This window comes from Homo sapiens, chromosome 10 (genome assembly GCF_000001405.40).
Source record: "Homo sapiens chromosome 10, GRCh38.p14 Primary Assembly".
Lineage (NCBI taxonomy): Eukaryota > Metazoa > Chordata > Mammalia > Primates > Hominidae > Homo > Homo sapiens.
In genome coordinates, this window is record NC_000010.11 from 102098035 (window position 1) to 102123400 (window position 25366).

Sequence of the window (25366 nt, forward strand, 5' to 3'; positions counted from 1 at the left end):
CTCACTGCAACCTCCACCTCCCACTTTCAAGCAATTCTCCTGCCTCAGCCTCCCGAGGCACATGCCACCATGCCCAGCTAATTTTTGTATTTTTTTAGTAGAGACAGGGTTTCACCATGTTGGCCAAACTGGTCTCGAACTCCTGACCTTGTGATCTGCCCGCCTTGGCCTCCCAAAGTGCTGGGATTACAGGCGTGAGCCACCTCGCTTGGCTGGTCAGTTTTTAATGAGAAAATTGACTTAAAGGGTTTCTCACAGTAGCTGGTGCAGAATGAATGTTAAACGCTATCATTATAATAATCATCAACACAGCAGCCTTGTCCAGTCTGGCTCCAGCTTCTCCCTCCTGCTACCATTTGCCCTTGTTCAGAACCCACTGGTTTTCTTCTAATCTTTTTTTTTTTTTTTTTGAGACGGAGTCTCACTCTGTCGCCCAGACTGGAGTGCAGTGGCATAATGTTGGCTCACTGCAAGCTCCGCCTCCCAGGTTCACGCCATTCTCCTGCCTCAGCCTCCAGAGTAGCTGGGACTACAGGCGCCCGCCACCATGCCCAGCTAATTTTTTGTATTTTTAGTAGAGACGGGGTTTCACTGTGTTAGCCAGGATGGTCTTGATCTCCTGAGCTCGTGATTCGCCCGCCTCGGCCTCCCAAAGTGTTGGGATTACAGGCATGAGCCACTGTGCCCTGCCTTTTTTTTTTTTTCTTTGAGATGGAGTCTCGCTCTTTCACCATGCAGTGGCATGATCTCAGCTCACTGCAACTTCCACCTCCTGGGTTCAAGCGATTCTCCTGCCTCAGCCTCCCGAGTAGCTGGGACTACAGGCGGCTGCCACCACGCACAGCTAATTTTTGTATTTTTTAGTAGAGATGGGGTTTCACCATGTTGGCTAGGCTGGTCTTGAACTCCTGACCTCAGGTGATCTGCCCGCCTCGGCCTCCCAAAGTGCTGGGATTACAGGCATGAGCCACCTCGCCCAGGCTCTTTTTTTTTTTTTGAGATGGAGTCCCACTTAGTCGCCCAGGCTGGAGTGTAGTGGCATGATCCTCGCTCACTGCAACCTCTGCCTCCCAGGTTCGAGCAATTCTTGTGCCTCAGCCTCCTGAGCAGCTGGGACTACAGGCATGCACACCACACCTGGCTAATTTTTTTTTGGTATTTTTAGTAGAGACAGGGTTTCACCATGTTGACCAGGCTGGTCTTGAACTCCTGACCCCAAGTGATCCACCCACCTCAGTCTCCCAAAGTTCTGGGATTACAGGTGTGAGCCACTGCAGCTGGCCTTCTTCTAATTTAACCCAGCAAACACTCCCCAGCATCAGAGTGTGTTTCCTATACCTGAAATCCTATTCCCCATACTCTTTACTTGACTAAGTCTTCCTCATCCTTCAAGTCTCCGCTGAAATATTCCCTCAGAGAGGCTTTCCTTAACACACCAGATTAAATAAGGTCTCCCTGTTATATGTTTATCCTACACTATTTGGTTATATCATAAATTGTCAGCTGGGTACAGTGGCTCTCCCCTGTAATCCCAGCACTTTGAGAAGCCGAGGAGGGAGGATGGAGGATGGCTTGAGCCCAGGAGTTTGAGACCAACCTGGGCAACATGGCAAAACCCTGTCTCTGTAAAAGCATACAAATATTAGCCAGGCATGGTGGTGCATGCCTGTGGTCCCAGCTACTCTGGAGGCTGAGATAGGAGAATTGATTGAGCCCGGGAGGTTAAGTCTGCCACGAACCATGATCGCATTACTGCACTACAGCCTGGGCAACAGAGTGAGAGCCTGTCTCAAAAAAAAAAAAAAAAAATTGTCACTGCGTATGTGTATGTATGTGGCCATTTGTTTATTTTATTTTTTTATTTTTGAGACGGAGTCTTGCTCTGTTGCCCAGGCTGAAGTGCAGTGGCGTGATCACTGCTCACTGCAAACTCTGCCTCCCAGGTTCAAGTGATTCTCATGCCTCAACCTCCAGAGTAGCTGGGATTAGGTGTGTGCCACCACATCCGGCTAATTTTTTATTTTTCATAGAGATAGTGTTTCACCATATTAGCCAGGCTGGTCTCGAACTCCTGACCTCAAGTGATCCACCCACCTTGGCCTCCCAAAGTGCTGGGATAACAGACGTGAGCCACCGTGCCTGCCCCCATTTGTTGTAATATCTATTTCTCCACCCAGTTGTGTAATATGCCATATTGTCTTATTCACTGTTCTGTCTCCAGCTCCAGGCATTTTGTAGATGCTCACTAAATTTAGCTTGGTTGACCGAATGGATGAACGAGCCGAGTAGAGTTTATATAGCAGGGACTCAATAAATGTTAAAATTTTAATTTGAGTTAACCGTAGAACTTCCATAGTAAAAGCACTCAAGCTTAGGCTTCAGAGGTGGGAACATGAGTTTGCAGAGACTACTACTAAACATATAACCAGGAAAAACTGCACATTTACAGTAGGAGATGGAAGTAAAATTATGGAAATACTCTTCACAATAGCCAAAACCTGGAAACAACCCAAATGTCCAGTGACAGGAGAATGAATAACTGGGTAGAGTCACAAAATGGAATATTATAGAGTTCCCAAAATGAGTAAACTGTAAGCAATATGTAACAATATAAATCTTGTTAATACAATATAATAAGCCACCAAAAATTACATACAGCAATACTCCCTTATAATAATGTAAAAAATAACTAAACTTAAAAAAAATTTTTTTTTTCTGAGATGGAGTAATCCCAAGTAGCTGGGATTACATGTGCCTGCCACCATGCCCAGCTAATTTTTGTAGTTTTATTTTTTTTATTTTGAGACGGAGTCTCGCTCTGTCGCCCACGCTGGAGTGCAGTGGTGCCATCTCGGCTCACTGCAAGCTCCACCTCCTGGGTTCACCTGCCATTCTCCTGCCTCAGCCTCCCAAGTAGCTGGGACTACAGGCACCCACCACCACACCCGGCTAATTTTTTGTATTTTTAGTGGAGACGCGGTTTCATCGCATTAGCCAGGATGGTCTCAATCTCCTGACCTTGTGATCCGCCCGCCTCGGCCTCCCAAAGTGCTGGGATTATAGGCGTGAGCCACCACACCCGGCCAATTTTTGTATTTTTAGTAGAGACAGGGTTTCACCATGTTGGTCAAGCTGGTCTTGAACTCCTGACCTCAGGTGATCCACCCGCCTCGACCTTCCAAAGTGCTGGGATTACAGGTGTGAGCCACCGCTCCCAGCTAAAAATTCTTATAAATTTTCAGGAATACATACAGCTGGTAAGTATGGAAAAGGAGCCAGGTGTAGTGGTGCCACCTACAGTCCCAGCTATGCATGTAGTCCCAGCTACTTGGGAGGCTGAAGCAGGACGATTGCTTAAGTCTAGGAGTTTGAGGTTGCAGTGCACTATGATCGGGTCTGTGAATAGCTACAGCACTACATTCTGAGCAACATAGTGAAACTCTGTCTTATAAAATATATATGTGTGTGTATATAAGGAAAACAAGAGAATGATGGATATCTTGAGAGATGGAACACATAGCTAGATTTATTGCCAAGTTATTCCCAAGGTCCTAGCTTTCATGCTGATTATTTCTTTTTTTTTTTTTTTTTTGAGACGGAGTCTTGCTCTGTCGCCTAGGCTGGAGTGCAGTGGCGCGATCTTGGCTCACTGCAAGCACCGCCTCCCGGATTCACGCCATTCTCCTGCCTCAGCCTCCCGAGTAGCTGGGACTACAGGCACCCGCCACCATACCCGGCTAATTTTTTGTATTTTTAGTAGAGATGGGGTTTCACCGTGTCAGCCAGGATGGTCTCAAGCTCCTGACCTTGTGATCCGCCCGCCTTGGTCTCCCAAAGTGCTGGGATTACAGGCATGAGCCACCGTGCCCGGCCCATGTTGATTATTTCTTATAGTCTTTTTTTGAAATGGAGTCTCGCTCTGTCGCCCAGGCTGGAGTGCAATGGTGCAATCTCCGCTCACAGTAACCTCCACCTCCCGGACTCAAGTGATTCTCCTGCCTCAGCCTCGCAAGTAACTGGAATTAACAGGCATGCACCACCATGCCCAGCTAATTTTTTTTTGTATTTTTCATAGAGACAGGGTTTCACCATGTTGGCCAGGTGGGTCTTGAACTCCTGACCTCAGGTGATTCACCTGCCTTGGCTTCCCAAAATGTTGGGATTACAGGCGTAAGCCACCGCACCTGGCCCCATATGATAGCCTTATAAGTAAATGTGTGCTGTGCATGGAACAATGATGAGAGTGTGTCATGAACCAAGGTTATGATTAATCTAGTTCTGTGCATCTGAAATCCGTTAAAGGAAAGGGAGAGAAATTAGCCTACCTCATCCTCCAGGCAGCCTCAGTTGTTGGGGGTGATGGGGAGAAGATTTTTCTCCCCCAAGCTCCTTTGGGACTTTTCTCCAGGGACTGGCCCTAGGTCCTCCTCTTGTAGAGGTGAGCTGGTGGAATAGAGGTGGAGCAGCAAGGAGGGAAGTAATCCAGGGTTTGGCTTCCTCTGGAAATGGGTCCTGAAATCAGTGGGAAAATGAGCCTCTCCTGAGGCTGAAGAAGGAATCTGGAAGTGTGAGTCAGCTTCCATTCCCATTCAGCTTCCCACACTCCCCAGCTTAGAACTTTTGAGTATGTAGTCTCCCATCCATTTCATCTATGACCTTAGGGTGGGGGTTAGGAGGAGCCCCAGAGCTGGGCCCTGAGTGAATGGGGCTGTGGCCACATGAATGACAGTCATAGTCGTTATAAACATTCTGGGTACTAGGGAGCTGGGACCAAGGTCTTGCTATGTTGCCCAGGCTGAAGTGCAGTGGCGATTCCTTGGTGCTATCATAGCACACTGTGGCCTCAAGCTCCTGGCCTCAAACAATCCTCTTGCTTCAGCCTGCCACCTGCCAAGTAGCTGGGACTATAGGCACAGAACTATATGGGCACAGTCCCACTATGCCCAGCTTAAACCAGTGGCTTCGAAGTCCATCATGAAACTAGGGAGCTGCTGACTCAATATATATATATTTGAGACAAAGTGTTACTTTGTTGTTCAGGCTGGAGTGCAGTGGCACAATCTTAGCTCACTGCAACCTCTGCCTCCCAGGTTCAAGTGATTCTCATGCCTCGGCCTCCCGAGTAGCTGGGACTTCAGGTGCATGATCATGCCCAGCTAATTTTTGTATCTTTGGTAGAGATGGGGTTTCACCATGTTGGCCAGACTGGTCTCGAACTCCTGACCTCAGGTGATCAACCTGCCTCGGCCTCCAAAATTGTTGGGAGTACAGGCGTTCTGAACCACTGCACCTGTTTTGTTGTTGTTGTTGTTGTTGTTGTTTGAGACAGAGAGTCTTGCTCTGTCACTTGGGCTGGAGTGCAGTGGTGCAATCACAACTCACTGTTGTCTCAACTTCCCAGGCCCAAGTAATTCTCCCACCTCAGCCTCCCAAGTAGCTGGGACTATAGATGCACCACCACACTCAGCTTATTTATTTATTTTAGAGATGAGGTCTCGGTTGGGTGGAGTGACTCAGGTCTGTAATCTCAGCATTTTGGGAAGCCAAGGCAGGCAGATCACTTAAGGTCAAGGGTTCAAGACCAGCCTGGCTGACATGGTGAAAACCCATCTCTACTAAAATTACAAAAACTAGCTGGGCATGGTGGTGCGCACCTGTAGTCTCAGCTACTAGGGAGACTGAGGCAGGAGAATCACTTGAACCCAGGAGGCGGAGGTTGCAGTGAGCCGAGATCATGCCACTGCACTCCAGCCTCGTCGACAGAACAAGATTCCATCTCTTAAAAAAGAAAAAGTAGAGATGAGGTCTCACTATATTGCCCAGGCTAGTCTTGAACTCCTGATATGGTAAAACCACGTCGCTACTAAAAATAAAAAATAAAAAAATTAGCCAGGTATGGTGTCATGTGCCTGTAGTCCCAGCTACTTGGGACGCATGAGAATCATTTGAACTAGGAGGCAGAGGTTGCAGTGAGACGACATCATGCCACTACACTCCAGCCTGGGCGACACAGCAAGACTCTATCTTAAAAAAAAAAAAAAGAAGTCAGGCTGGACTGGGCTAAGGGTATAAAAGAGGGGTTGGAAGTTGCACCAGACTACAGTAGGTTCCTAGGAAAGGGGATGGAGCTCTCTGGCTGAATCAGATCAGACCGGGTCAGGAAAAATGAGGAAGGAGCTGGGAGTCCAGGAGGGACAGAGGTTTGGGGTTGGGTTCAGACCTCTGTGGATCCAGAAGCCCTGGCTGGGGTACATGGTCAGACTATCCGAATGAATTAATTCACCAACAGACACATACGTAAACATATGCGTATACATGCCTACATACAAACACACGTATACACTGCCTTACCTGCACATATAAACAGATCCAGGCCCTCCCTAGCTCAGCAGCACAAAGCTCTTCAGCAATGTGCTAAGGCTTGGGACTGGGCCCACATATGTACCTGAAAACAAAGGGCATGAGGGTTTTGGAGGGTCTCTCTCTTCCCTCACCCCAGTAATTCCTCTTCACCAGGGGTTCCTGGGGGCAAATGGGGAGGAGCCAGATATGGGGCTCCAGAGGAAGTTGCTGGCCACTGTGTTTCCTGAGTTCAATAGTGTGTTTTCCTGCTTCTCTGACCTACCCCCTGCCCCCAAGTAGGATGGGGTCCAGGCCTGGCAATCTACCTTTTCCCTTGACTATCTCCCTCCATACACAAACATATACATACAAGACGTGAACCTACAAATACCCAACCGAGTCACACAACCACTGTCCCAGCAGCCCCATAACTCAACACAGTCGCACTGCTAAGCCACACATTTAACAACACACCCTCATTTACGGATTTATAGCCTTCACTCACACTCAGCAGTCACATCTTCTCTGCTTTGTTCAACATCATATCCCCAGCACCTAGAATGGGCCTAGTACCTAAAGAGGGCTCAATGAATAATATTTGAATGAATTAATTAACCAACAGACACATACATAAACATATGCATATACATGCCCACATACAAACACATGTATATACTCCCTTACCTGCACATATAAACAGATCCAGGCCCTCCCTAGCTCAGCAGCACATACATACACACACACTCAGGCTAATGGGCTAGATGTACACTCAGTGCCAGACACAGACCCACTGTAGATGTTACCTGGCACTCTCAGGGTGAGTTGCTGGTGGCAGTTGGCTGGTAAATGTCCTTCAGGCTGGCCAGATCTACAAAGGAAGAGTTGGGGGTGGGGTGCAATAGCATTCCTTGGGGTCCTGAGGCACTGGGTTATGAGAAGCTGGGCTGGCAGCAGGGCACGGCCAAGATAACTGTAGATTGGAGATTGGACAGGTCATACAGTCCCTTCCTCTGGTGTCTTCCTACCAGCTAGGGAGGTGAGGGTAGAGGTGCCAGTCTATCGGGCTTTATTTCAGGTCCAGGGAGAACTTAGGAGGGGAACAGTTTGAGGCCTCAGCTTCCCCTGCCTGGGATGACAAAGAGGGACACTGGATAGGGAGCTTTATGGGCACTAAGACCCCATCTCCAATCTACAGCGGGGTCTCCATATCTTCCCAGTCTGGAGAGTAGCAATCCTGCTACTCTCTTAATCCCCCACCCAGGGACCTTAGCACCAGGGGAGACTAATTTAGACCTCAGCTGCTGACCGGGCAGAGTGGACCACGCCTATAATCCTAGTACTTTGAGAGGCCAAGGCGGGTGGATCACCTGAGGTCAAGAGTTTGAAACCAGCCTGGCCAACATGGTGAAACCCTATCTCTACTAAAAAAAAAAAAAAAAAAAATACAAAAATTAGCCAGGCATAGTGGTGGGCACCTGTAATCCCAGCTACTTGGAAGGCTGAGGCAGGAGAATCACTTGAACCCAGGAAGTGGAGGTTGCAGTGACCTCAGATCATGCCACTGCCCTCCAGCCTGGGTAATGGAGCAAGACTCCATCTCAAAATAAATAAACCAACTAACCAACCAACATCAGCCAGGCTAGTAGACTGGGGGCTGGGTAGGGGTAGGAGTCTCCCAGGTACTCTAAGTACCCCAAGACCATCTAACCCAAGCCCCCTCCTGGGCCAAGTCCCCTCTCCCACCCCTCCCTCAACGGCATAACCCAAGGCAGTCTATCCCAGGAACCTGCCCCAGGAGGGCCACCTGTCTGGCTGCCCCATGACAGCTAAGGGTGAGAAGCAACAGTCCTGGGGTGAGAGGTGGGGAGCAGACTGAGAAAGCCAACTCTCCCTCAACTTTTGAGGGAGATGGGGCCAAGCTGGGACATCTGGGAACAAACTTTAGGGTCTTGGGTGAAGGAGAAGTGTAATTCAGGGAAACAACTTCAAGAGTGAGGGGAAATGTGAGGTGAGTGAAGGGATCCAATTCATAGTCTTAGGAACTGCAAGGATGGGGAAAAGATTGCCTTGGACTGAGTCATTATTAGGCATCAATGACCAACCAGGACACTCTCAAACCGAAAAGTCTCTTTATTGATTGGTACCATACATGACTCAAATGGCCCAAAAAAAAAAAAAAAAAAAAAAAAAAAAAAAAAAAAAAAAAAAGGCATTACAGTTGGGATGGGATGTCCACCTTCCTCACCCCTTCCCTCAGCTCCTGACTCAATACCCTTCCAAAAGTGGCAGCTGGAGTGGAGGAAATACGGTGTGGGGGACCCCAGAATCCAGAGGGAAGAGTGGGGAGAGAGGTGGTGTTAGCACTTCCTGGGACTGGCCACAGGAAAAGGCAGCAAAGCCACAGAGCTGGACCAGCTGCGTGAAACCCTGCTCCTGGCTGCACCCTGGCAGAGCCGAGGATCCCGGCTGCCTCCTCCTCCTTCCTTCTGTGAGGAAGGAGCGGCAGGGGATACTGGCAGGTGAAGACCCTCTACCTCTACCTCACCTATGGGGACAGAGGCCTGTTCCTCCCTGGTGGGCTTAGAACTGGGATGTCATCTGTGGCTCCTTCCCCTCTATGAAGGACAGAGTAGGATTACATATGCAGTTGGAGGGGCTGAGGGAAGATTCTGGAGGAAAGTGGCTGAGCCCCTCTCCCATCCCATGCCTGCCCAACTGAAACAAAACCAAAAATACAGCAACAAGGCTGCTCCCTTCTCTCCACGCTCCCTAAGGGAAGGAGCCTCCCCTCCCCGCATCCTAGACAGCTGCTCTTGTGGAGGACTTGTAAGGAATATACATACCATGGGGGTGGGGCTGGAAGAGAGGGAGTCACAAGCACTAGGAGGGCAGGCCAGAGTCCAGAGAATGGGGACACAGAGACAACAGCAGGGGTCTGTCACCAAAATGTGGCCACCAATGTCCCCCTACCCCATGGCATGCTTTCCTCAACTGCAGTCACCCCAGAGGAAAGGGGGAGAGATGGTGAAATGTCTCCTTGGTCTGAAGCTCTCACACCATATAAAATGGTATGCACACCTCCCTCCCCCACTCTCACCCCCACCTAGGCCCTAGGCCCCCATCTGCCAAGAGTAGGGAGGTAGCTGGACTTTTAATAGGGGGAAGAGGGGGGGACATGAGTGATTTTTTTTTTAACTTACATTTTTAATAATATTATTTTTAAAAAAACTTGGAGCTGGGATAAGTGGCAGCAGGGAGGAGGGGCCCAGAGCTTTACCCCTCTATTACCAGCTGCCTAGGGGAAGGAGCATTCAACGAAGCCCCGTAACTTTAAGTCCCTAAGGGCTGTGGGTATAGACAACCCCAGGCTTGAAAGGGGTAAAGTCAGGGGGATGGGAAACCCACAATCTGGGGTGAAGATGGAGGCAAATGCCCTGGGGGGTGGTCAGGACATGTCTCAGAGGCCCAGGTTCCAAGTAGGCATCCACATGAGTACCCCCTCCCCCTAAAAGGCTCTGTAGAGGCCAGGCCCAGCCCAGGGCCACTGGGGGGGCAAATCTTGGCACCTGCCCCCAGAGAGTCCAGTTCCTCCCTGAAGCGGGTGGATGGAGGCTGCCCATTTTAGATGCTCAGTCTCTTCATTCTGTCTTCTGCTCCCTGGGGCTGTGAGGGGTGGGGCAGGTAGGCAGAGCACTGGGTGGCCACAGCAGGGCCTTTTACTGGGAGGCCTGTGACGTGGGGTTCTCCGATTTGCTTTCTTGGCTGGACGGAGGCTTGCTGTTCCAGGGGCTGTTGGCGCCCAGTGCAGGGGAGTTGTTAAAGCTGTCCTCGTCGTCAATGCCGTTGGCTGCGTCAAACTGGGTGTTCTCCAGCCGGGTGATGAGCCTCTCGTCCTCGTCCCCGAACTCCCCGCCCATCAGGGTGGGCTCCCCCACCACCATCACATCCTGAGAGTGGCGGAGGTCCCCAAACATAATCGGGGCAAGGGCTCGCCCGGCCCAGGGCGGCAGATACCCCCAGAGCCCCAGTACCCACCCTGGAAGCTCAAGAGTCCCCACCCCCTCCTCATACCCGAATTTAAAACCCCAACTCCTGACACCCTCAGCTCCTGGAATCCTTCCTACTGAAGAACACCAGAGCATCAAAGCCTTTAGCCCATATCCATTACATTCTAGAAGTCACTCTACTCCCCTAGCTCCCTAGCCCATCTCCCCAAAATTTTAGGGGACTCCTCAACTTCTGTCCACATGTAAGAAAGGGAGCATATCAAAAACATGAGGGAGGGCAGTGTGTGCATGTGCAAGGGTATGTATTCTGGATCTGCAAACACTCCAGTCTGCATGTCTATCAGTGTGAGTGTGTGTGCTGGATGGTCTGTGAGCCCCAAGCTGTCTGTCCTGAATATCCGTATGTCCTCATGGGTGTCTCTGTCCCTTTATGCCCTAGCTTCCTATGGCTGAGTCTGTGTGATCACACCCATGCAAGTGCCTGACAAGAACTCTCTCACCAGTAAAAGCAGTTAGCCCATGCTGGCAGAGTACATGAGAAAAACTGTCTTTGCTTCTACGCCTGCTAGTGAGCTCAGGCTTGGAAAGGGGTCAGGGGTGAGTGGTGGGGCAGCCCAGAAGAGAGAAGAAAGCCGAGATGCTTACAGGTACCTGGCTGGAGAGGGCGAAGGTGCTAGCTGGGCTCTTCTTCTTGCTGTTGCTGTTGTTGGTGTTGCCACCACCAGAGCTCATGGTGCTGCCCCCTGACATCTTCCGTTTCCGCCGTTTGCTGGGCTGCTGACGTGTGGGCTCCGCTGTGCCGGTAAACGGAGACTCAGATGGGAGAGGGCCCCAGGTCCCCTATTCTCCATTGTGGCTCCCAAGGAGCATGAGCCTGCCCTGATCCCAATTTTGTAGACCCGGGAACAAGGAAGGGGTGGGGAAAACTTCAAAAGGAAATAAAGATACAGCTTTGGGGAGCGGTGTGAGATCCTGGTAAGAGCAGGTGCAAGGCACTCACCAGGGGGTGCTACCATGCGCTGCCACTTCTGGAAAAGGCAGGTCTTGAGGCAGTCGCGGGGGCTGAGGCTGTAGGTCTTGTGGCGTGACATGAGCTCTTGCATGGGCTCGAGTATCACACAGAGCTAGGGGTAGACAAGGAGGTGGCTTGTCAGGGGACAGACATGGAGCCGAGACTAAATGGACTGGGGCAGAAACTGGGTGGTCGGAGACTCACTCGGAGGTAGTTGAGAGTGGAATTGGACAGCCCACACCGAGTGATGTTTTTGGAGAGCTGATCCAACATCTGGGGGTCTTGGGCCTAGAGTGGGAGAAAAGACAAGAAAGAACACTGACACCTGGGTTGCCTCTGCTCACCTGCCCTATCATCTGAGCATTGTGACACTCCTGAGAGAGGATAGTCTCTTATTAAACCTGCTGTTCAGATGAAGAAACCCTAACCCTCTGTCTAAGTAGTCAGTCGGGAAATGGCAGACCTTGTTCCACCCTTCCCCCGCCTGCCTTCACTCTTGCATCCTGGGTCCTGCCCACGACTCACATGCATGGCAAGGATGCTGCGGGGGATGAGCTCTCGGTGCTGCCGGATGCTGAAGTGCCACGTCTTTATCCGCATCATGTCGTCAAACATGAACTCCAGGTACAACCGGCCCTCCACACACACCTGGGGACAGGCTTGTCAGAACCCTGCCCCCTCCCCACATACCATACCTGAAGGTATGTCTATTACAGTCTCCCATTTGCTTACAACTCTCCCATTGCATACACTTTTGTCACCTGCACATTAAATCTGGGTGCATAAATGTCACAGTACCCCCCACCCATATACCTGGCCCTTACACACACAGACACACAGTAGAAAAGCTTAACAGATCCTTGTCCTCTCCCCATGTGGCTAGTGATACACCCACCTGCTCTAAGCTATATGAGGGCAGACTCTTGTTCACTCGTGTAGCCTTGGGGCCCAGAAAACTATCCCATACAAACACAATACATGTTTGCTGACGGTTGCAACATGCCTACCCGCCCTTCTTATTTTGCCAGTTCACATTATGCCTCCCTGGGGAACAGCTGTGAGTATACACTGGGAGAGAGGATGGGAATCAAACCCAGGTGCCATGGTGTTCCACATCCAGCTGGGTTGCTGACCTGGGTGAACATGGGCTTGCCATGCTGGGTCACCATGCTGCCCTGGTCACAGTCGAGGGACACAAAGTTGCTGTGGAATGCCTCCTTGGGGTGCTTAAGAACATAGTACAGCTCCGTAGCACCCCCCTCAAAGATGCTGCGGAAGTAGCGTGGGATCAGGGTCCGGCCAATGGCTGTAGAGATGGGACAAACTCTTCAGGACAAAGGGACCGCAAAAGGGGCCAGGCAGATGCCTCCCCTACCAATCTAGATATCCCCTGGCACTCCCAGACCCACTTCTAGACCTTAGAACGACATAGGAGGTATACACCCTCATAGCAAGACCCCAGAGGCCACTTACTATATCTCTTTGGTCCATCCTCCAGGCAGAAAGTGATGGTCAACATGGCATCATCCTCAAAGAACTCAGTCGTGAATGCATCCCACCAGAGATTGTCACACTCCTAGGGAGCATGGTAACGGGTGTTCATGTGTCATAAGATATCCCATAGGGTGCCCAGATGGCCCTCCTGCTCCCAGCCCCTTTTCCCTTGGCCATACCTCTGTCCAGTTCTGAAGCCGTTTGTTAAGCTCAAATATTCTGTAGTCAGTTTGGTTGCCATATGGTGTGTGCCTCCTGGAGGAAGTGAAGGAGAGAGGTCAGTAGGAGCGGAGCCTGCCCCCTCCACCCCCTACCTCGGCCTTCACCCAGTGGAAAGCACCTTCTTCCCCACTGGACTCCACTTACCCAATCCCTGGCTCCAGGTATGTAGGCGGATACATGGGAGTTGGGCTGTGTAAAGGAAGAGGCTATGAGAATGGGGGTTGAAGATAGGAATTATTGGGGGCAGGGGGCTACTCCCTCCCCTTTCCAGGCAGGATCCCACCTGGAGAAGGGTTAGGAAGTGGCCAAGAGACTCACTTACCCCACATCCCTATCCAGCATGGTGCCGGGATGGAAGGGGGGAAAGGCGTTGCCGTTCGGGGGCTCCTTCGGCGAGTACAGCTTGAATGACTTTGAGGAACAACCTAGACGAGAAAGAAAGGAGTCATAGCTGGGCGCGGTGGCTCACATCTGTAATCTAGCACTTTGGGAGTCCAAGGCAAGAAGATTGATTGAGCACAGGAGGTCGAGGCTGCAGGGACCAGCCTAGGCAACATAGCGAGACCTCGTCTCTAAAAATAATTGAAAAGTTGGCCGGGTGTGGTGGTGCATGCCTGTGGTTCCAGCTACTTGGGAGGCTGAGGCAGGAGGATCACTTGAGCCTGGGAGGTCAACACTGAAGTGAGCGGAGATCATACCACTGCACTCCAGCCTGGACAACAGAGTGAGACCCTGTCTCAAAAAGAAAAAGGAGTCCCCTGACCCCCTCTTGGGAGCTGTCCGATAATCCTGCTAGACTGTGTGGATAGGGACGGTCTTATGGAGCTCCCTGGCCTGATTATAAGAGAGTGGTGGACTAGGGGAGGGGGCTACTCTAGGGAGCACCTGTCTCTCCTTCTAATTCTGGCTCCAATCTTATTTCATTAAGAAACAAGAGTAGTCCACCCTAATCCCAGCGCATACCCAAGATCCCATTTCTTCATTTGGCTGAGTCCTAGATGACAGAAGAGGAATTGAAGCTGGGAAGAATGATTACAGAATAAATAAATATCCAATCATTAGAATCTAATATTGATAAACCCCCTTTTAATCTACATACTTTCACTCAATCATCAAAACAACCTTATGAGGTAGCAGGGCTGACCATAACATTCCCATTTTACAGATGAGGCAACTGAGGGCTCAAAGGACCTTGCCAAGATCATAAAGCTAGTAACTGTCAAAGCTAGGACTTGAGCTTGGATCTTCTGATTCCCACATCCTATACTCTTTCTACCATCTGACCCCTCTATTGCCCTCTAGAGACCAAAGTGGGGGAGGAAAAGGGAGGATTTTCAAACTCTGCCCTTCCTCCACCCTCAGGGTCTCAGGAGGGCAAGGGATGGAAAGATAAATGGGGGTGGGTGCCTGTTGGGTGTGGCCTACCAGATAACCAGTTGGGCCTTCTGCCTCCCCACTAACGGCCACTCCCTTATCAGCCCAGCCCCCACCCCCGCCCCCAAGGGTAGACAGTATTGTCTCCAAACCAGAAACCCAAAGCCTCAACCCCTTTTCTCTTCTGAGACTTGGGAGTCGGGGAAGCAGGCAGATGAGCCTCCTTTGCATCCCACTCTACCTACAATTGAGAAGTAGGTGGTCTGGGAAGAAGCCTATGTTCCTCAGTCTAGGGGCAAGTGGTCACTAGACAGGGGTCTCACTAGTGTGTATCTGTGATGTGCACATGTCCTCTCTCTCACCTCACCTAACAGCAAACAGTTCCTGGAATACTGTTTTCTGACTGGAAAAAGTGTTAAATTCATAGTTGGGTATGAGCCAGGTACCCCTGCAACTCTGTTTCCCCTTCTCACCAGATAGGAGGGGAAACTGAGGCACAGGCCCAAAAGTTCATCTGACTCCAATCACATTTGCTTCCTTGGGTCCCTAAAACTCGACTGCATTTGGAAGGGTAGCTAGATTGGCTGTATCTAGATCTCCTCCCCAACTTAGATACAAAACCTATTTTGTTTCTTTGGGGGGAAGAGACAAAAGAAGACCCTGTGCCAACATGTGTCATTTAATTCTCTCCCCAGAGCCCTGTCCTCACAATGCAGGCAAAAGGAGGGTCCCAGACTGCACAGTCTCTGAAGATGCCAAGTCAGAGCCTGTGTGTGCCTGCACACACGTGTGCCTCATCCTGCCTAGCAGGCTTTCACCCTCAGCTCGCCCTAACATGCCTATCAAGGGCTGGAACCCAGCAGCCCCAGGCAGATTCAGATGCCCGCAACAGGCCCTCACCCCATGCACGAGCTCTCACGGGCCACATCCATATGCTCCAAGAACAGCACACACAGCCTTCACATGCCAGTCTGGACTGAGCCTGTGTCTCCAGAAAGACAGTCCCCACCCAGCCACCAAGTCTCCCCAATCCACAGACAGGCAGACTAAGGCCACACAGGAAGCCCAAACTCACACAGCCCACCAGAGGCCAGGCCTGGGCAATAAACCCAAGAGTAGATTCTCAGACCTGGCCCTCATCCCCCAACTAGGCCATCCTTTCTCCCATAGCTTAACCACCCCTGCCTCCTCAGTTTCCGGGCCACTTGAAATGTGTTAGCTCAAGAACCTGAAGAGACAGGAGGCAGGACGCCTGGGTTTCTCTCCAATTTTGTAAAAAAAAAAAAAAAAAAACTCTCAGAGCCTCCATTTCTCTCTCTAGAGAATGAACAGGCATTGTCTAGGCCTGGGTAAATAGCTCTGAGGAGCTAGAGCCCAAAGCTCTGGGCCTCTATTTACACCTCCAGTGAATGGACACAAACTCAGCATCTCTCCAGAGCCACAACTCCCAGTGGCTCCAGCACAAGGGCTTGGGAGTGAGTAGAGAAGGGGAGGGACATCACCCAGACCATCTGTCCCTGTTGCTGCCTGTCCCCAGCAGCAGGAGTAGAGGCAGCAAGGTGGGGGGACGGAGGAGATGTGTCATCCAGCCCTGGAGTCAGCCATAGCCCCCCTCCCACCTCTAGCAAATTGGAAGCCTTTAGGAAGGGGGAGAGAAGAGCCCAGAACTAGTAAAGTTTTCTCAGGGTGGAAGCTGCATCCCGGGGCTGAGGGGGGCACCTCCAGCTGGGTATTGCCATGGTAACCAGGCTGACTCGAGGGCAGGCCTCCTCCCTTTAGGGACTGGCCACAGGTCAGCAGGCCTGAGCGCCCCGGCGGCTCTGGGCTGGGGCACCTCTCCCCCAGCCCGCAGATCAGGCCCGGGCCGGGCTGAGGGCCTTCCGCCCACCCCCAACAGGCTCGCAGGGTGCCCAGACTTACCTGGGAGAACTGAGGGGGCCAGGAGAGGTACGGGGGAGCGACTGCAAGCCCAGAGGAGTCCTGGCAGGGGTGAGGGCTGACGGGGGGACAACTTCAGCAGCTCATGTCCCGAGTGGGACGGGCAGGCCCGACTGGGAGCTCCAGTCCGCCGGCCGCACAAAGACTCGCACGCACTGCCTCGGCCCGCCCCGCGGCGGCCGCTGTCCCGGGGGAAAGTTACAATGGCCACTGGGCCGGGGGCCGGGGGCCAGGGGGCCGGCCTGGGGGGCGGGGGGCCGCGGGGAGTCCGGAGCCTTCTTTGTTTGCAAGGTTTCCCTCAACAATGGCTGCTCCGCTCTTTCCTCTCTCCTCCTCCTCCTTCTCGGCTCTCCCCGCCGCCGCCTCTTGCTGCCTCTGCCTCCGAGCAGCCCGCCCGCCCTCCCCAGGCCACCGGGCCCCTCTGCTGGGGGCACCAGGAGAGGCAGGACCCGGCACTCACACTCACTCACACTCGCACACTCAAACACACACGCAGCGCCCGCCGGCTGCCTGCCTTTCTCCCTTTCTCTCCCTGCCTCCCTCCCTCCCCGCTCGCTCTCTCCGAGCCTCTCTCAGAATGAGGCCCCAGGGCGGGCGGAGGGTGGAGCTGCCCCCACCGGCCCCGCCCCCTCCCTGAGAGGAAAGAGGAAGAGCAAGGGAGGGAGGGAGGCTGGGACGGAGGGACTGCTGAGAAAAACAAAAGAGAGACAGAGACTGGGAGAGACAGGGGACGGATCAGATTGGGCCAGGAGAGACCTGGATGGAGGAGAGGCCTGTGGGGGCCAGGAACGAAATGCAGCCCGCCTCCCCCGAGCCCCAGGCACGGTGCTCAGGAGTGAGCAGGTGGGCCAAAGCCACTGGCAGAGATGGAGGAGGGCGGGCTCCTCTCTGCAGACTCCAAGATCTTCAAAGCACCTCCCAAACCTCCCCCAAATCTTTCTCGCCCCTGTGATCGCTCAGGTTGAAGGCTGGCCCGGACTGCCAGCCTGGGCTCCCCTGGTGAAATCCTGGAGCAGCTGGGGGGAGAGGCTCCAGGGGGTTATTTTTGACAGACACACATTCTGACATCAGACTGTAAACACTGATTGGAGGAAGGGGGACACTCCAGGCTTCCCTGCCCCCAACCCAGCTAAATTCCAAGCCTTGACTTAGATCCCCCTTAACAGGAAGCCCCCTTCCCCACCACCACTGAAGACAAGTGGGTGCCAGGGAAAGAGGCATTGTCAGAGCTAGGGAAAGCCAACTTGGCCATCCAAGGGTCCCCAGAAGGAGCTTAGTTTGCTGCTGAATCCTCCCCACCACCCCAGAAAAAAAAACGTGTGGTTAGTGGATAGGACCTGTTCTCCCATCCAGCAGGGCATCCCAAGGGAGCAGATATTTCTATTTTTTTTCCTAAGGTAATTTTGTTGTAGCAGGAGGGAATATTTCTAAAACTTGGGTAGTGGGCCAGACCTTACTCGTGGACAAATAGGAAAAGGAAAATACATAGTACACACACACACACACAAACACACACACACACACGGGAAGGGGGAGCACGAACCTTCTATTTCCTTCTTTGCAATTTGAGTGTCTGTTTCTCTACTTCCTGTCTCCTACCCCCAACTATATTCACACATAACTCCAAGGACAGGATTTCTTATGACATACTCACTAGTTAACTGTGCAGTAATATTGCACCTGGCTCTGTGAACATCTTCCACATAAATAACACATCTCACTTTCACATAAATCACTACCTGATACACATTTCAACCTGTGATATATCTTTTTTCCAAGACGGAGTCTCGCTCTGTTGCTTAGGCTGGAGTGCAGTGGCGCGATCTCGGCTCACTGCAACCTCCAGCTCCTGGGTTCAAGCGATTCTCCTGCCTCAGCCTCCTGAGTAGCTGAGATTACAGGTGCATGCCACCACACCCAGCTAATTTTTGTATTTTTAGTAGAGACAGGTTTCACTATGTTGGCCAGGCTGGTCTCGAACGCCTGACCTCAGGTGATCCACCCACCTTGGCCTCCCAAAGTGCTAGTATTACAGATGTGAGCCACCGCGTCTGGCCATCAACCTGTGATATATCTCAAATCCTAAATATACCCAAATCCTGGATATATACACACACACACAGTCTAAGTCATACACACTGGGACCTATGACACGCATCCTGACCTCAATACACACACCAAAACTGTGTTATAACCCCTAAACCTGTGACAGCCTATCACATACACACCCCGATCATTTATTATGCAAGGACTTAACCTATAAATCACCCTCTCTGAAGCCTGCGTACCATTCCTCATCACAGCCTGGCCATAGAATAAACCCCAGCTTTCACAAACATACTGAAATCTATAACATTCAGCCAGACCCTGCAACATACAGCCTATCACCAGGACTTAAGACACTCCCACTGACTCCCAAATTTACAGCTTAACTCTGGGGTAGTCCCACTTCTCCCCCACTGCCTTTAAACTTTCCAAAGTGCATTCACAGGCAGTACCTCAAGAGATCCTCATAGCACATAGGGCCAAATATCCTAACAGTGAGATCCTAACAGAACCCACTGAGACAGGATGACCAGGGTGGGCTGGGGGGTGGGGGGGTTGAACCCTGCACTTCTAAACCCACCAGATACAAGCCAAGCCCTGCAGCCATTCCTACTCCCTTCCCCCTCCAGGCCTCAAATCACTGTCCTCATGGGGAGGGGGAAATGTGCTCTGGCTTTTGCCTCCAGCCCAGAGCTCAGAACCCCACACCCACCCTGTCTCCTCAGACAGGAGGGACTACAAGGGCCCTCCAGTCTCGCTGTGGGGTGGAGGGGCCCCTAAATGCCAAGATGTATCGACTGGCAAACCATTCAAAACAGGCCTTCTAGTTATTCTCTAGCAAGTCTGCTCCTTTCTCTGCTCTGACCAGATTTACCCAGTTGCACAGGGGCAGAACAGGTCCAGCTAAAAAGAGCAAGTCTGAGTTAGAAGGCCTTAGAATTGGTGGTGAGGTGGAGGGAGCAGCAAATAATGACAAAGATGATGAGGGAAAGTACTCCTCCTGGAGGTGGGGACTCAAAGGACAGCAGCCAGCCCCAGCCCACAGGATGAGGTACCAGCACTGCCCCCTGCCCGGGCCCCTGGGGCTCCCTGACCCAGGCCTCCAGTGTGCCTGCCCCCCTTCCTTTGTCTGTGCCCGGCCTCCCGTTGGCCTGGCGCTCTGCCATCCTCCTCTCCTGGCTCCCAGCCGCCACCACTGCTGCCTCCTCCCCTCCCCCTACTCCTCCCTGCCTTAACCCTTCTGAGCCACATGCTGCCCCAGACAGGCCCTGGCCCCCTCAGCCTCTTGCTCAGGGTGATGCCCCTTAGTCAGAGGCTCTCCCTGCTCCCAGCCATTCCAGCCCCAGAAGCTGGTCCTCACCCCAGGAGCAATATGGGTGTTGGGCATGTGTATGTGTGTATCTTGTGGTGCTTCTGCGTGTGCATGTGTGTGGGTCTGTGTGCGCTCTGGCTTCCCTCAGTCACATGTGTGGGGCATGTGCTGTCTCTGCCGGGCTGGGGGAGGAGGAGGAGCCCGGAGACAGCAGAACACAAAGGAGAGACTCAGACAGGCAGGCAGGCAGGCGGCAGGCGGCCTGCCAGGGCGCCTCAGCCCTCACCCCAGGGCTGCTCAAGGTGGGGGAAATCTTTGGGCCTGGACTGCTACATGCTGCCATGCCTTCCTTGTGTTCAAGCATGTGCTCCCCCATCCAAGCAAGCTGCAAGCCAGGTCCCCTCTCTAACCTCAACTGCTACTATTCCCCACCTCCAGTCTACTCTGAAGCCCTCCCCATGTGGTTCTCCTTGAAGTCTAACCTCCATCCACCCTCTTTGGCATCAATCTATAAGACTTCTTCATGATCTGGAAAAAGACTCCCCACTCTTCCCTATCTTTTGCCCTCTCTCCCTCAGTCAGACCACCAGACACAAAAGGAACATGCCTTCTGGGGCATTGACTGAAGTTGTCTTCCCACCCACCCACAAACCCCTGGGCTTGGGCCCTCTTCCTGTTCCCATGCTGCTCCCAGAGACTAAGAAGAAGAGATTTTCTCTCTCCTCCCACTGGACCCAGGCACCCTGCCCCAACTTCAGGGCCAACCTCCCATCCACCTCCAGCCTGACAACCCCTCCATACATACATACCCGCTTACCCACTATTTGTAGGAACTAAGAATCACAATTTAAGACTCATCCCTCTAGCTTGTTCAGATCCTTAGTTTAACTGCTCTGCTCATGTGTGTTGATGGAGGGTCAGGGCCCTGGGGTGGGCTAAGAACATGATGGATCTGAAAGGGGTACCCAGCATGGGTCAATTATAAAGGAGAAAATCCACAACATAAACATGTACACCAAGCTGGTAGAAAGAGGGACGACGGGGCCAGACAGGATTCCAGCTTGGCAAGCTCTTCCCTCTCCTCTCCCCAACCCTCTGCAGCAGGAGCCAGTGGTTCCCATACTCGGATATTCTAGGATTGTTAGGTTCTCTTATTCCTCCTTCTGGGACCCATGCCCCTTAGACATCAGCCTCAGCAGGCACCTGAAGTGTGTGCCCAGCCCAGCTTGGCCTGGGTCACATGATTTTCAAGGAAGCTTCCGCACTGGCAGCTTCCCTTGGGGATTTGTGGGGGAGTGGTGGGTGTCCAGCTGTGAAGTATGTAGCCAAAGCGGGCTACATTCAGGGACACTGACTTCCAGGAGAAAGCTGACTCCAGTCTGGGGCAGGAGGGCCAATTCCAGGACCCAGAGTCCCGGGGATGGAGACAGACAGTGTGCCGTGAGGCCCTCTGTAGACTACCTCTCCAGTCGCATGGCTTCTCTCTTTCCTCCTGGCAGTGAGGTAGACGCCCTCCGCCCCCCCCACCTGCCCCCCAGGAAAAAAACTCAGACCTAGGCTATCCCTGGCAAGAGCTGATATGTTTTGGGGAGGCAGGGATCTGAGCCTGGGTCCTCTCTCAAGTTCTCAGTTTTGGGTCAAGTATTGCTCCCCCAGCTTACCTCTCCACAAATCACTCTATTTCCTAGCCTGCCCTCCCACTAGGGCGGAGATGCCAGACCCAAGGGTCCAATTATCTGGCACCTCTTAGGAGTACCTCCGGTGCCTCAGGAGGGCCAACCTTCCCTGGCAACAGGCAGGAAAAGTTGAAGGTGGGGGGCAAGATGGGCCGCAATCAATACCTCCCTGCAAACAGGGTCCTCAGAAACAGCATGGGGGGGATGTCACAGGATAGGTAAGAGGCAATGGGCAGCAGGGAAGGGGGGGCAGCCCAAACCAGCCAATCACAACTCTATGGTGACCTGAGGGGGGGGGTCAAAAGTCCAGAGTCACTTCTGATTGGCTAACAACCTGGAATTCTGAGAATTTCAGCCCCCCCCAAACCTCTCCCCAATTAGCCTACCCCCAAAAAAACATACACATAAGCCACCCCCAGCGTCTCCTCCCCGTGTTTCTGGGCTGCTGCGCATTTACACAGTTGGGGAAAACGCTACCCGCCAGCCTGAGGCCCCGCGTAGCCCTTCCAGCCCCCGGCTTCCCCCATGCCATCGACGCCCCCCACACAAGTTCTCGCCAAACACGGGGTGAGGGGTCCGCAGGGACGGCTGGGCAGGAAGGGGCCGAGTGGCCGCACGCCCCACTCACCAGGACAGGCACAGCCCACTGACATCTTCACATCGCCCGCCTCTGGGGGCCCAGCCGAGTCACGGTGCCCGCCCCTCGCGGGGACAGGCCGGGCATGAGCCGCCGCCGCCGCCCGCGGCCCCCGCTGCGCTCGCCGCCGGCCCGGCCCGGCCTCGGCCCGGTGCGGGCGGCCCCTGGCTGCGGCGAGGGGCCTGTCAGGCGCGGAGCAGACAGGAAGGAAGCCAGGCAGGAAGGCGAGCGGCCTCTGCGTGTGTGCGCGCGGGTGTGAGTCCGCGGAGTGTGTGTCCGTGTGTGCGTGTGTGCGCGTGTGCGTGTGCGTGTCTGTGCGCTCCCGCCGCCGTCGCCGAGCGCCCCCCTCTCCGCCCTCGCGCTCGCGCTCCCTCGCGCCGGCGCCGGCTCCCCAGCCCAAGCCGGGCAGGGCCGGGCTTTATTAATATGCTAATTGTCCTGCTAGTGGGAGGGGAGAGCCGTGTCAAAGTGACCCGGGAGAGCGCGCAGCAAGCGACGACGTGCGTGCGCCGCGCGGCGGGCGGGCGGCGAGGGGCTGGGAGCGCTCGGGGAACGGCATGCATGTGACGCAGCTTTTAAAAAAGGAGACGGAGGCAGAGACCCCAGAGAGGGAGGGCGAAGGGGAGGGCTTGGAGGCGCAGCCGCGCGCTCGGTGTCCGTCCTCCGGGTGCCGCCGGATGGGGAGTCTGGCTGAGCCGGAGCGGGAGCCGCGGCTGGGGGAGGCGGAGCCGGGGTGGGCAGTGTGGTGTATCTCTCTCCACCCCGGGCCGCGCTCCGGGAGGGAAAAGGGACTGCAGACCCCCTGTCCGTGCTCCCTGCTGAGACGCCAGCCTTCTTCTGGAGGCCCCTTGTTTCGCGTCCCTACCCTAGGCTGGATGGGTAAAGAAGCATTCTCTTAATTCTTGTAGCAACCCCTCAACTCACCCCTTCCCTAAATTAACCACTCCTCCTTTGCCTGCGAAACCAGTTGGGACTAGAACTAAAAGGGTTAATTAAGTGGGGTCCCCGCCCTCCTCCGCCTAAGGGCTTGGGATCTGTGTTTTGCTGGGGGGAGGGGGCTGCGGAATGACCACCAGATTGGATTACGGAGGGGCGATAGGAGGCCATCCTTCCTTCTTGCAGACTGACGCATCAGTCAAGACACTCTCTTCCCTTCCCCCCTTTCTCCAGCCTTGGTGCCTTCACCTCCGTACCAACCGCCCAACCCCACCGCCTCCGACCCCCCTGCCTGGAAGCTGCTGTCCTTTGAGGGCTTCGGAGATGAGAACAGGAAACAGGCCCCTCCAGTGCCCCCTAACCCAGAGAGGCAGAGGCTGTGGGCCGTGGGGGGTTGGATGGGAGATGATGTGGATGGTCAATGTAAGGAACACTCCTTCCCCTGGGAGGAGCCTCCCAACCTTCAGTCACACTTCAAGGACTCCCCAACCCAGCCCTAGGAGGGGAGGGGCTCCATCTCCATCCCTTCCCAAAAGCTCAGCTTTAGCTGCCTCATAAACAGGAAATACCTATTAGCCAGGAGGAGGGAAGGGAGGGGAGCCGCCTGGAGTAGAGAGTTGACCCCCTCCCTCCTGGGGTCCCCAGCTGCTAGCTTTTCTTTCTTAAGTTTCAGTATGGGCTCCAGGGATAGACGATGGAGACTTGGACTAGTGTCTCCTCCCTAGGGCGTCTGGCCCTGACTGGGTAGGGGGTTCTCCTCTTTGTTACTTAGAGGGGTGTTGGTTGAGAAGGCTGTTTGGTTCCCTCACTCTGGCTCAGAGTCTGCACAGCTGGCTTGACTGGCTGGGGGAGGGTTACAAATGCGGAGGCTTAAAGTGTTTATGAGACCTCTTCTCTCCACCTTAGGTTTTTGCTGAGGGAGCATGAAATGATGGAACGGTGCAGAGTCCAGGGATTGAAAAGAAGGCCTGCCTAGGAATGGAGACCCTCCCCACCATGTGCTTAGGATGGGGGATAGGGGAGCTTGTACACTGTGGAGTCTCCCACCCCCAGGTTTCCCCATCTCCACCCCCACCAGGAGCAGAGAGGACCTGACTGAAGCCATCCACACTCACACAAGTATTTCCTTGGCAGCATCCCCTGCCTGAGTGCACCCCCTCCCTGCATTCTCCCAGACAAAGGTCAGCACTAGAGGGAGTAGAGAGAACATAAGGCAACAGAACACTGGCCCGAAATTGTGGATACCTAGGTTTGAACGCAAGATTCGCTCCTCAATACCTGAGTGATTTGAGACAACTGACCACCCCACCTGGGACACTAGCTTTATCCTCTGTAACCTATGGCTTGGTGAGTATCAAACTAGACAATGTACACCCAGTCACGTAGCCCAGTGTCAGCCAGGCAGTCCTGTAAATACGTGTTCTTTCTGCCCTTTTTTTTTTTTTTTTTTTAAGATTATCCAATTCCAAGAGAGGAGGGGGCTGGATTGGCAGGACAATTTGAGATGGTTTGGAGGAGGGGGAATACCTACCTTGACCTCCTTCTCTCTTTTCTGTCCATGAATTTGCCTTCCTCCAATCCTGTGACCACTTACGCCTAAGGCCACTCATTCCAAACAACTAGCTTGGTCAGATTCCATGCTGACCAACACAATGGTGATCATCTGGGTGGACAGGGGGACTACAACCCACCCTATAAAGGTCTTTGCCTCCTGTGAATCTGAGATTTCCCTCTCCTAGATTACACATGTGGAAGGTAGAAGCTTAGGAAGGAAGAAAAAACTGCCTTACTTGAGCATGCACTAATGCCAGGCACTGCCCTAGGCCTTTTACACTTGCCGACTCATTTACCTTTCATGAGGACCTTTGGAAGAAGGTGCTATTACCTCCATTGAACAAGTAGGAAAACTGAAGTTCAGAGATGATAATAAATTTGAACTTGCCTGTAAAACACTGTTCTCCCTCTTCTTCACCTACTAGTTAATGCTTCCTTAACACCTTAGTTCTAGCTTCACCTTCTCTGGGAAGATTACCCTTCCCACTCCCACTGACACTATAGCCCAGTTACCGGTAAGGAAATACCATCTCAGTACTGTTGAATGGGTGGTTAAAATAAGTGATTGGGGCTCCTACAGGAACTCCATTTAGGCAAGTTAGTTAACTTTGCCAAGGTAACAGAGCTAACAAGCACTTGACCCATTGCTCCACTCCTTGCCTTACTTCTAGTGTGGATCAGACCTGGGGAGGGAGAAGAGAACATCTTTGGAGCATCTCTGGGAATTGTGGTATAGGCAAAAATGGGAAGAGAGGTCACAGACACCTGGCAGACAGAAGGGATGTGGTAGGAAGGGGGTGGAGTCTATGTGGAGGG

General features: G+C 53.0%; 2 protein-coding genes across 12 annotated transcripts in view, besides 16 other annotated features; one reads left to right on the plus strand and one right to left on the minus strand.

Moving 5' to 3' along the window:
* Positions 1–4053: 4053 nt before the first annotated feature.
* On the minus strand, positions 4054–23408 carry LDB1 (LIM domain binding 1). Of its 9 annotated transcripts, XR_001747255.3 has the most exons (12): positions 16372–16968; positions 13400–13502; positions 13222–13266; positions 13035–13110; positions 12835–12937; positions 12495–12667; positions 11887–12009; positions 11566–11649; positions 11350–11473; positions 11001–11143; positions 7146–7210; positions 4054–4512 (listed from the first exon to the last, which is right to left on the minus strand). XR_001747255.3 is itself a non-coding variant. In XM_017016867.2 (11 exons), exons 1-11 carry the CDS (start codon positions 22074–22076, stop codon positions 7196–7198), a joined length of 1020 nt encoding a protein of 339 aa, XP_016872356.1. In that variant the 5' UTR covers positions 22077–22334; the 3' UTR covers positions 5926–7195. The 9 variants fall into 9 exon arrangements, 8 of the variants coding, with proteins under 8 accessions (XP_016872356.1, XP_016872357.1, XP_047281936.1 ...); XM_017016867.2 differs by lacking the exons at positions 4054–4512; positions 16372–16968 and adding an exon at positions 22052–22334 and having other exon boundaries at positions 5926–7210; positions 10995–11143; XM_017016868.2 differs by lacking the exons at positions 4054–4512; positions 16372–16968 and adding an exon at positions 22052–22334 and having other exon boundaries at positions 7181–7210.
* Positions 9486–9987: an enhancer, noted in NCBI's record as "H3K4me1 hESC enhancer chr10:103867277-103867778 (GRCh37/hg19 assembly coordinates)". NCBI's record gives its function as "activates a minimal SCP1, AML or CMV promoter by ChIP-STARR-seq in naive H9 embryonic stem cells {active_cell/tissue: H9 hESC(naive)}" and the evidence as "EXISTENCE:reporter gene assay evidence [ECO:0000049][PMID:30033119]".
* Positions 12225–13424: an enhancer, noted in NCBI's record as "CDK7 strongly-dependent group 2 enhancer chr10:103870016-103871215 (GRCh37/hg19 assembly coordinates)". NCBI's record gives its function as "activates an origin of replication core promoter dependent on BRD2, BRD4, P300/CBP, MED14 and CDK7 cofactors, with strong dependence on CDK7, by STARR-seq in HCT116 cells {active_cell/tissue: HCT116}" and the evidence as "EXISTENCE:reporter gene assay evidence [ECO:0000049][PMID:35650434]".
* Positions 16320–16409: a silencer, noted in NCBI's record as "silent region_2739". NCBI's record gives its function as "represses an Ori minimal core promoter by ATAC-STARR-seq in GM12878 lymphoblastoid cells {active_cell/tissue: GM12878}" and the evidence as "EXISTENCE:reporter gene assay evidence [ECO:0000049][PMID:35858748]".
* Positions 16460–16609: a silencer, noted in NCBI's record as "silent region_2740". NCBI's record gives its function as "represses an Ori minimal core promoter by ATAC-STARR-seq in GM12878 lymphoblastoid cells {active_cell/tissue: GM12878}" and the evidence as "EXISTENCE:reporter gene assay evidence [ECO:0000049][PMID:35858748]".
* Positions 16630–16779: a silencer, noted in NCBI's record as "silent region_2741". NCBI's record gives its function as "represses an Ori minimal core promoter by ATAC-STARR-seq in GM12878 lymphoblastoid cells {active_cell/tissue: GM12878}" and the evidence as "EXISTENCE:reporter gene assay evidence [ECO:0000049][PMID:35858748]".
* Positions 16890–17099: a silencer, noted in NCBI's record as "silent region_2742". NCBI's record gives its function as "represses an Ori minimal core promoter by ATAC-STARR-seq in GM12878 lymphoblastoid cells {active_cell/tissue: GM12878}" and the evidence as "EXISTENCE:reporter gene assay evidence [ECO:0000049][PMID:35858748]".
* Positions 19110–19812: an enhancer, noted in NCBI's record as "H3K27ac-H3K4me1 hESC enhancer chr10:103876901-103877603 (GRCh37/hg19 assembly coordinates)". NCBI's record gives its function as "activates a minimal SCP1, AML or CMV promoter by ChIP-STARR-seq in primed H9 embryonic stem cells {active_cell/tissue: H9 hESC(primed)}" and the evidence as "EXISTENCE:reporter gene assay evidence [ECO:0000049][PMID:30033119]".
* Positions 19401–19640: a silencer, noted in NCBI's record as "silent region_2743". NCBI's record gives its function as "represses an Ori minimal core promoter by ATAC-STARR-seq in GM12878 lymphoblastoid cells {active_cell/tissue: GM12878}" and the evidence as "EXISTENCE:reporter gene assay evidence [ECO:0000049][PMID:35858748]".
* Positions 19813–20514: an enhancer, noted in NCBI's record as "H3K27ac-H3K4me1 hESC enhancer chr10:103877604-103878305 (GRCh37/hg19 assembly coordinates)". NCBI's record gives its function as "activates a minimal SCP1, AML or CMV promoter by ChIP-STARR-seq in primed H9 embryonic stem cells {active_cell/tissue: H9 hESC(primed)}" and the evidence as "EXISTENCE:reporter gene assay evidence [ECO:0000049][PMID:30033119]".
* Positions 21855–25366, plus strand: part of PPRC1 (PPARG related coactivator 1) — a 30445-nt gene continuing 26933 nt past the window's right edge. Inside the window, exons 1-2 of one of the 3 annotated variants that reach the window (XM_047424879.1) lie at positions 21855–21990; positions 23903–24343. The gene's annotated coding sequence lies outside the window, so the exon portion shown is untranslated. Of the gene's footprint in view, positions 21991–22420; positions 22940–23902; positions 24344–25366 lie in introns of those variants that run through there. The other 2 variants (XM_024447914.2, XM_047424878.1) reach the window with 2 other exon arrangements.
* Positions 21974–22043: a silencer, noted in NCBI's record as "silent region_2744". NCBI's record gives its function as "represses an Ori minimal core promoter by ATAC-STARR-seq in GM12878 lymphoblastoid cells {active_cell/tissue: GM12878}" and the evidence as "EXISTENCE:reporter gene assay evidence [ECO:0000049][PMID:35858748]".
* Positions 22134–22213: a silencer, noted in NCBI's record as "silent region_2745". NCBI's record gives its function as "represses an Ori minimal core promoter by ATAC-STARR-seq in GM12878 lymphoblastoid cells {active_cell/tissue: GM12878}" and the evidence as "EXISTENCE:reporter gene assay evidence [ECO:0000049][PMID:35858748]".
* Positions 22220–22971: an enhancer, noted in NCBI's record as "NANOG-H3K27ac-H3K4me1 hESC enhancer chr10:103880011-103880762 (GRCh37/hg19 assembly coordinates)". NCBI's record gives its function as "activates a minimal SCP1, AML or CMV promoter by ChIP-STARR-seq in naive H9 embryonic stem cells {active_cell/tissue: H9 hESC(naive)}" and the evidence as "EXISTENCE:reporter gene assay evidence [ECO:0000049][PMID:30033119]".
* Positions 22274–22573: a silencer, noted in NCBI's record as "silent region_2746". NCBI's record gives its function as "represses an Ori minimal core promoter by ATAC-STARR-seq in GM12878 lymphoblastoid cells {active_cell/tissue: GM12878}" and the evidence as "EXISTENCE:reporter gene assay evidence [ECO:0000049][PMID:35858748]".
* Positions 22594–22723: a silencer, noted in NCBI's record as "silent region_2747". NCBI's record gives its function as "represses an Ori minimal core promoter by ATAC-STARR-seq in GM12878 lymphoblastoid cells {active_cell/tissue: GM12878}" and the evidence as "EXISTENCE:reporter gene assay evidence [ECO:0000049][PMID:35858748]".
* Positions 22972–23723: an enhancer, noted in NCBI's record as "H3K27ac hESC enhancer chr10:103880763-103881514 (GRCh37/hg19 assembly coordinates)". NCBI's record gives its function as "activates a minimal SCP1, AML or CMV promoter by ChIP-STARR-seq in naive and primed H9 embryonic stem cells {active_cell/tissue: H9 hESC(naive and primed)}" and the evidence as "EXISTENCE:reporter gene assay evidence [ECO:0000049][PMID:30033119]".
* Positions 23724–24473: an enhancer, noted in NCBI's record as "H3K27ac hESC enhancer chr10:103881515-103882264 (GRCh37/hg19 assembly coordinates)". NCBI's record gives its function as "activates a minimal SCP1, AML or CMV promoter by ChIP-STARR-seq in primed H9 embryonic stem cells {active_cell/tissue: H9 hESC(primed)}" and the evidence as "EXISTENCE:reporter gene assay evidence [ECO:0000049][PMID:30033119]".

Excerpts from the sequence above, each read along its gene's own strand:
- LDB1 (NM_001113407.3), bottom strand. The coding sequence starts at position 22,076 with ATGTCAGTGGGCTGTGCCTGTCCTG. Across the intron at positions 13,503-22,051 it reads AGTGGGCTGTGCCTGTCCTG|GTTGTTCCTCAAAGTCATTC; the intron begins GTGAGTGGGGCG and ends TTTCTCGTCTAG. Across the intron at positions 12,938-13,034 it reads GGCTTCAGAACTGGACAGAG|GAGTGTGACAATCTCTGGTG; the intron begins GTATGGCCAAGG and ends CATGCTCCCTAG.